Genomic DNA, 8,488 nt, shown 5'->3' on the forward strand with positions numbered 1-8,488 from the left:
CCTGAGGCTGGAACGCGTATGGCGTGCAGGGAACATTCCCTTTCAGAACAAGCTGCCTCCCCCCAGGGCCTTATCTCCCTGTGAGTAATAAAACTGCTGAGGCAGGACGGCCTGGTGGGCAGGCACAGGCAGCATTGGGTGCAGGATGCAGGGCTGTTCTGTCCCTGCCCCAGGCATCAGCTCATCCACCCTCCCTCCGGCCCTCATCCAACTCCTGGAGCTGAACTAGGCTCCAAGTTCTCACGACAAGGGCAACAAGACTCTAGGCTGACCTCCACCTTGGGATCGCAATCACTTAGCACACCTCTCTTCAAGATGGGGGGTCCTGCTGCAGGGCCTCAGCCTGTGATGGAGTGACCCTGGGGGCAGGCAGCTTGTTCTGAAAGGGAATGTACCCTGCACCCCCAATACGTGTTCTGGTGTCAGGGGCCAGGCCAGGGCCTAGTTCAATTTCTGGTCAGAAACATTCTGAGGGGCCTAACTAGGGTCCCCCAGGACAGGCCATGCATAGTCCTGGAGGTTCCTGCATTGGAGGGTTTGGATGCATGATGGGGAGCTACAACCCCAAGGCAGGTGGGATTAGGCAGATTCAGGGGGTTCCCATGGGTCCTTCAGAGGTTGGGTAGGGTAACAATTCTTCCCAGGCTGGGGTTCCCCAAAGCTTGTTCAAAGGGGCCCTTACCTCTTCCACTCATCTATCACTGCCCACCATCCAAGCTAAGCCACTGGGAACTGCCTCTCAAAAAGCATCTCTCTGAGCAGGTGCGACCTGTGCATGTGAATGTGTAATAGGAACAACAGGCCAGGGTTATTGTAGGATGGAGAGACCTTCAGCCTGGGACTAAGAGGAAGGTAAATCACAGAGGCGGACAAGAGAGACACACCACATGCACTGCCCGGTTCACGGGCACCACACTGACCCCATACACAGATGCCAGACTTGGACACACAGCCGCACATGGTGCTTGCATCATGCACATTCACTTGCAAAGCCCCAGTCCCACACAATCATGGTCTCTAAATCGCCAATCCCGCACAGCTACACTTTTGGGCAGTTTGAATCAGGTCCAGGAGCTATAAGGGAGGATGACCAGACAAAAAGGGACATGAAATCATTGCCCATCTGTGGGGCTCTCATCGGGTGTTGGGAGGGGGTGTCAACACCGGGGAGAGGTCGCCCCCTGCTGGAAAGACGACTGTAACCACTTCCCCATCCAAGCCTGCCCAGCTAATCTTACCCCTAACCCTCCCCTAGTAAGACATCCACACACACCACACATTTATCCACCACACTCTGCCTAAGCCCCAGCCAGGCTGCATAACTCTGGGTTCTTTTAAAAACATGTAAAATCTTTGATCATCATTTGTTTAAACTGTATAAATAATCTACTGGGTTTTAATAGGATTTTTCTATGAATCGGCAACAAAGCATGAAATGTGATATTTTCACCATGAGTAGTTGGGAAATTAGTCACCTCTGTCCATGGCTCCCTGCTGGCTGGAGACCCCCAGGCTGTCTGGTTCCTGTCTCACCTCCACCTCAGGCCTTTCAAATGCTACCCCGACAGCTCCTGCCTTTTTGGGGTAGTAGGGGGAATTCTGTGGTGTCACTATGAGGAGGCCTGCTGGTTGTCTCCTCGTCTCAAAGCAAAGACCAGGCTGCCCTGGGTTCCCGTTTCTCTGATTTATCAGAAGTCAGGGTCTTTGGTTCTCTACGTCTCATTGCGGGCTACAGTGCAGGTTGGGATGGGGAACAGGGATGGGCAGTGGGTTTAAGGATAGTTATTTGGGGCAGAAGAAGTTCGAGGGCAGAGAGTTGGAGTCATTCACAATTTTCCCATCTTCCCCAAAGTTCTGCACACTTGTTCACTCCCCAGGCTGTTCCACACTCACAGCAGCAGGACCCACACACCCCGTCAAGGAGGCTGGGCCTGTCTCCTGAGGTTTACAAACTGCCCGCCCACTCTGGGAGCAAAAGGTGCTAAGTCTGGGAGAGGAACAACTGTTGGGGGCAAGGAAGGGTGAGAGATGGAGAACAGATCTAGGGAAGCAGGAAATGAGGGCTTCAGGGATGGCAGCCAGGCAGGGATCAGAGATGGAGGAATCAGAGATAAGACCAGGACTTCGGAGTTAGATGGATGAGGCAGAGATGGTGGAAACTGCCCAAATATGCAAGCGAGGCTTTCAGTCCAGCTCCCAAATGACTCCTGACCCCAGTCCCCACCACCAAGTACAGCAGTCCCAAAGAATGCCTCTTACGCCTCACTGCCCTGTTGGGAAAAGCCAGTGGCAATGCCAGTGACCAAGAGCCTATGCAGCAGGGCTGGCCCTGAGCTACCCAGATGGGTCTTGGGCCACCCAGGTCTCAGGCCAAAGCCTGGTAAGCCTCAGCCTCAGAGCTGGGCATGGGCCATGGGGGAGGGGGTTGTGGGGCCCCCTCCTTGCCCTGAACCACAGTCCACATGCTCCGAGCTGAGCAGGGCCCCTTCCTTTCTGCCCCCTGCCCCTGGCCCTAGATGAATAAAACTCAGGGGGCGGGGGGAGCTATTCATGGAACCAGAGAATGTGTGAGCTGCCCAGCAGCCCCCTCTCATTAGGGGACCCCCGTCAGGTGGCGCTCATTAACTTCAAGTTGTCTCTTGTTTTAAAACTCGGGTGAGGGGGGCAGGGTGGAGGGGCACATTGTCTGGCTGCTGCCCCAGAGAGATTAGGCGCCCAGGGGGAGGGGGCAGGCAAAGGCCCTTTAATTAGTTACTTTCAAAGGTTCCCTGTCCCCTTTCTCTCGGGTCCCCTTCCTAACCCCCGGCTGGGCCCAGCTTCGAGGGGGGCGGTCTTTTCTGCTTGGCAGAGCCGCCTGGTCACTCGGCTTAAATCCGCAGTCTTTGTTTCTGCCTGGACAATGGGCCCAGCACATCAGCCATGGAGGCCACGGAGGAAACAGGGCCTTCTCCTGTGCGGCCAGGAGCCGGCTGAGTGGGGTGCATCCTGGCACCAGCCTGCAACCTGGGGCCCCCAACAGGGGGCTGGTACCATGAATGCTTCCTAGGCTGAAAGGAAGAGGATAGGAACACACACACACACACACACACACACACACACCTCAAGACCTAGCTATTACAGAGGAAAAAGGAGAAACAAACCTCATGTCAGGGTCTCCTTCACATAGGAAGTTTCTAGGTCTTAGGGCCTGGCTCAAGGATGGGGGTGCTCTTCCTTTCTATACAGCAGAAAAAATGGTTTATGAGTCAGGCAGATCTGGGTCCCAATCTTAGCTCTACTACTCATGAGCAAATAATTAATCTCTCAAACTTCAATTTCCCTCATCTATAAAATGGAGAAAATAATGACTGCCTCTTGGGTTGTGAGGATTAAATAATCTAACTGGGTAAAAGGGTCTGGCACAGTGCTTGGCACACAGTAAGGGCTCAGTACCTGTTAGTTTCCTCCTTATATGGTTCCTATGGCCAGAGCCTTACCCTACACCCTCTACTACTAAGGAGCAGGTGCGTGGGACCCTTTCAGCTTCAGGGTGCCGGTGGCCGACACGGACTAAGCTCCTGCTGGGACACACATGCAGGAAAAGACTCAGAAAGCGCTGAGTGTGCAGACATGAATGAGGAGGAAGGAGAATCCCAGATTGGGAGTGATGGGGTTGGGGGTGGGTACCAAACAGAAAAGGGTGAGTGGGAACATGAGGAGGTAGAGGAGAGTGAGCCAGCTCTGGAGATCCTGGGGGGGTGGTCTCTGGGGGAGGGATTGAGAGGCTGTGTTGCAGGAAGAGTTGGTGATTTGCTTGGGTCAGCAGATTAATGGCACTAACGAAGTTTCCGAGAGCATGGTGAATTGGGGGGTCGGGGGCGTCCATGTGGAAAGGCACATGACTGGGGATTGATCAGGCTGAAGATGAAACAGAGAAAGCTTCCCGGGCAGCGGAGGTAGGAAACGCCAAAACCAATTACTCCCCGGCCCCTCTGGCCTCCAGATCTCTCCCCTAGAGAGGAGGGAAGGGGCTGTGACCTCTCTCTGTGGGTGAGGTCACACACATAGGCCACTCACGTGGGTAGGTGACGCCGCAGGTGCACAGGGGAAGGTCCACACATGGGAACGCATGTGCACAAGGGAAGGTCCACGCGTGGGAATGTGGAGACCTGGGGTGTGATGACGTTGCAAGTTCTGGTCTGTATGCCCTTGTGGGTCATTTGACTCCCCACAGGTGTCCCCACATTCCACCTAAGTGTCCCTATCCAGTCACCACACTTGTCACCAGGAGGAGCAAGGAACCCATGGTGATGGTGGAAGTGGAAGTGGAGGGCGTGCTGAGAATCTTCTTCATTCAGTTTTGGCCTTGAGTCTCATCTCCACAAATTAGCTAGTTTGAGCCTTAGTTTCTGGTCAGAGCAACCCTGGATTACCATTTAGGTGGCTAATTCCTTTTGCAGATAACTGACAATGTATCAGCCTCTGGTTAACGGGAGTGCACCCCACTTCATGAAAACCCATCCCTTTGGAAATAACCAATCACACACTGGTTGTTTTTAACAGCCCCTGATGTTTGTTGAATGAAAAAGTGTGGCAGATTGGGCAGCCCTCTCCAGGCTGAAGAATTCACAAAGGATATCAAAGTACCAGATCAAAGGGCAAGCAAACATCCCTTACAGGACCTACAGAAGCCCTTGGTTAAAAATCAACAAGAGGTGATTGGATGTAAGATAAGGGCCCTTCAAACTCACAACACGAACCCACTAGACGTCTACACTTGGGGTCCTTAAGGGAGCTGGGGGTGGGGAATGTGGACAGCAGGGGGCCCAGTGAGGCCTGAATTTAGCTCTTCCATGTGGAGGGCCAGCTCCCTTCTTGGCAGTGTGTATGCTGTGCGGTGTTTGCACCTTCAGGTTCAGGACAGAATTTGTGTTTCATGCCAGATGTTGAATGGTGTTATTATAGTTATTAGCAATTATGTTTTATCATAAAACCACTTTTCCTTTAAGTATGTGGGTAAAAAAATTCAGCTCTTCTTGGAGTTCTATCCAGTCTATTCCTCTTGGAGATGACTTCAAGTTTTATAATACAAGTCCATAGGCAAATGGGATTCAAGCCCTGGACATTCGCAGGAGTCCCTCTTGGAAACTTAACCATTTCAAGCAGAGAGAAGCCGCTACACTGCTGGGGTCCAGACGGCTGTCCTATGCAGGGAGGTTGCGCTCCAAAGGTACTGCACAGTGTCAGTGCTCCCTCCCTATACCCCTCACCTGTCCCCTCCCCCAACCTTCAACCTCACCAATGCAGTCACTGGGGATCCTGACCCAAGGATGCCTCCCCCTTCTCCATGCCCCCACCCCCATCCCACCCGTGCCCCCACCACAATGTCTACGAGGGAGACCGGCTCCTCTTGGGGCCTTCAAGCTTTTGTTAGGGTTATGTGAGCCACTAGTGACAAGGGCCCTGAAACCCAACTCGACCAAACTCATAAAAGGGGTCACTGTCTCTTTAATTAAAGTTCCCTGTTTGGAGGTTAAAGACAAACCCGTTTGATGGTGCAGGTGTGTAGAGTGGGGGTGGGGGAGAAGGGTGGAAGCGGCTAGAGGAAAACAGAATTCTATCCTTAGAGGGAAGTAGGGAGGGGCCTCACCAGGGGCAGGCTGGCCGAGCGATGGAAAGTCTGATGGGGGTCCCTGAGGGTCCCCAGTGTGGCAAGGGTCACAAGGGGGAGAAATCAGGCAAGAACCGGGAATCCCAGGGCCAGTGCAGCGAGCTCTGACTCCCCTGCGGGCATGCACATGCTCCTGGCCCATGCACACACTACCTGCCCTCCATGATGCCCGACTGACCACTCCCCTTGCCCACTCTTCCATCCCTCCCTTTTCCATCCCAAAAGTTCTCCAATAAAAGAGGACCCAGGGCCTAATACCATCTCCCCACAGAAGCAACTTCATCACAGTTTAACATAAAAAGATCAGCTGGTATCGACCCGTAATTTGGACCCATGCCACGCTATTGGCAGGAAGACAGAATAAGTTAGGGTGGCCATGTTTCAAAAATTCTCTGTGTGCACTCAATCACGGCCCAGGGAAGGCGGGTGGGTGCGTAATAACCCAGCCGCGCTCTCCATTTCCCCTGTAGATCAATGCTAATACCAGGAGGCCCCGGAAGATGGATGGAACCGACAGGAACCTTGAAATCCCGACACGGGGGCTGGTGCCTCAACCGATAAAGGATTTCTTCACTGCTACTGGGGCAGGGACACTGAAACCTTAGGGGCCATGGGAAGACAGTCTGATTGGGGACAAAGAGATGAGGAGAGGGAGCAGCCTCTTCTTTATGCTCACTGACACCCTTAGTCACTCACGTGGCCACTGACCGATGCTCGCTCCAGAGTCACTGACAGGCACGCCAACCGCGGCACACACCATCGCTCACACTGTACCCAGCCAAAAGCACCAACGCCTCCCCAAAGACACCTCGACTCCCTGCAGTCCCACAAATGGGTCCCTGTACACACGTGTACACATGCATGTACACAAACTCAAACCTCAACACCAGAATGAATCAAGGTATCTGACACAGGCACACTTACCTAGGGAGATACAGACACATCCAACCATTGACATTACACCCCGTCCCCGTGAAGCAAAAAGAGATGTGCATCTACATGCATATGTACTTCTCTGTCTCTCCCTCCTTCCTTTCCATGCCTTCCTTCTTCCCATTTCCTTGTGATTCTGTTTGGAAACTTGCAGGCTGATGGTCAGTCAGGGAACTTTCCAGGACCCATTGGATGTAAATCACTAACACAAAAGTACACCAGGCACACAGTCCTGGTCAACCAGACTCCCAGATGGGTGCACACACATGCTGCAAAGTGGGAGTCCTGGGTTCCAGGAACAGCTCAACATGGACTTGCTGTGTGGCCTTGGACAAGCCATTTCCTCTCTCTCTCTGGGCCTCTGTTTCCTCATCTATAAAACAACAGGTTGAACTGGGAGATTTCGAAGGGCCCTTTCAGGTCTGAATTTCTCTGTCTATTGTGGCAGACACAAATTCCTGCCAAGAGTTGCACACAAACGCAGGCAGCCCTGAGCACTCACACTGGCTGTGGTGGCCTGAAGCCACACCCACAAGGACACACAGGGGAACACAGGCACACAGGGCTCTTCCCAGCAAGGGTGCCTGCAATAGGGGCAGCAGCTCCCATCCTTCCCAGAGCTGGAAGTCAAGGAGCCTCAGAACCCACTCTTCTGGGAGCAAAGAACTGGGGACAAAGTAGAGAGATGGAGCATTGTTGTGAGTTTGAGTGGGGGACAGAGGGGGCCTTTCAGGCTGCTGTCTGATTTCCTTCCTTTTGAGCTCAGTCCCAGGACTGGAGCCATTTCCACAGCCTCGAGCTGACATCTTGTGGCCATCTCCAATGATTGCAGGCTTCACAAGGAGACACTCAGTCCCCTGCAGAGAAGCATAGCCCTGCCCAACCCAGAAAGTCGTTGGCAGAACACTGCTTCCCATCCCTGATGCCCTGTCCTATGCCCAGCTGCCAGGAAAGGCACAGGGGCTGACTTGTTCCTCCAGCGCGGACAGGTAGAATACAGGGGGCTACCTTGGGAAAAGCTTCAGGGTTACTGGGTGACAAAAGGGACTGGAAAAAAAATGGATGCTTAAGGGAGCTGCAGCCTGTGGTAGAAATGTAGTCCCACATTCCCACAGCCTCAGTCTAAGGTAAGGAAACATGGCCCAGGCCCAGGGGACTGCAGTCTAGGGAGGCGACACAGCCTTTCCCCAGGGATCTCCAGGTGAAGGAAGAGACTCAGCCCTGGCCTCCTGGAAGCCCAGTCTGATGGGAGGCATTTGGCCCTCCTCACAGACAGCCTTAGCTTTAGGGGAAGAGGGGAAGGGGAGAGACATGGCTCTGCCCTAATGGATCTTCTCATCTTAAGGAGAGAAAAACCTCAGCCCACAGCAGTGACCTCAGTCCTATCCGAGGAGTATGGAATTTGGGGGCTTGGAAGCCCCCAGCTATCTCAGCTTCCCATGCCAAGCCCTAATCTGGTAGTCTGAAAGGAACATGATTTCCATGCCTGCATCAGCAGCCTGGGGCTGGGCAGAGGGTTGGAGCAGAAGTTTTGGGGAAGTGGGCCATCCAGAGCCAGCCCCATTGATTCTGGAGAGACCTACTGGGCAGGGGTGGGGGGTGCATGGCAGGGGAGGACCACACTTTGCAGATCCTCCCAGAGGAAGCCATGATGGAAGTCCCTGGACAACCCTGGGCCAGTTCCTCCTACTAGCCAGAGCCTCCTGCCACCTCTGGAGCCAGGTCTTAGGACCCTGGAGATGACAAGTCACACACAAGGCAGAGGCCAGGGGTTCCCAACCTGGAACCAGGGAACCCTGGAGGTGCTGGGTTGATGAGTTTGTTATAAATTAGAGACTCGTTAAGAGAAGGTGAGAAGGGCTCAGTAACAGCTTTCGGGGTCCATCTTTTCGATTTCTTGTTCGG

At 53.6% G+C, this 8,488-nt stretch overlaps 2 annotated features.

Moving 5' to 3' along the window:
• Nucleotides 1,220-1,289: a silencer, noted in NCBI's record as "silent region_2709". NCBI's record gives its function as "represses an Ori minimal core promoter by ATAC-STARR-seq in GM12878 lymphoblastoid cells {active_cell/tissue: GM12878}" and the evidence as "EXISTENCE:reporter gene assay evidence [ECO:0000049][PMID:35858748]".
• Nucleotides 2,764-3,430: an enhancer, noted in NCBI's record as "H3K4me1 hESC enhancer chr10:102633779-102634445 (GRCh37/hg19 assembly coordinates)". NCBI's record gives its function as "activates a minimal SCP1, AML or CMV promoter by ChIP-STARR-seq in naive H9 embryonic stem cells {active_cell/tissue: H9 hESC(naive)}" and the evidence as "EXISTENCE:reporter gene assay evidence [ECO:0000049][PMID:30033119]".

Source organism: Homo sapiens, chromosome 10 (assembly GCF_000001405.40).
Source record: "Homo sapiens chromosome 10, GRCh38.p14 Primary Assembly".
NCBI lineage: Eukaryota > Metazoa > Chordata > Mammalia > Primates > Hominidae > Homo > Homo sapiens.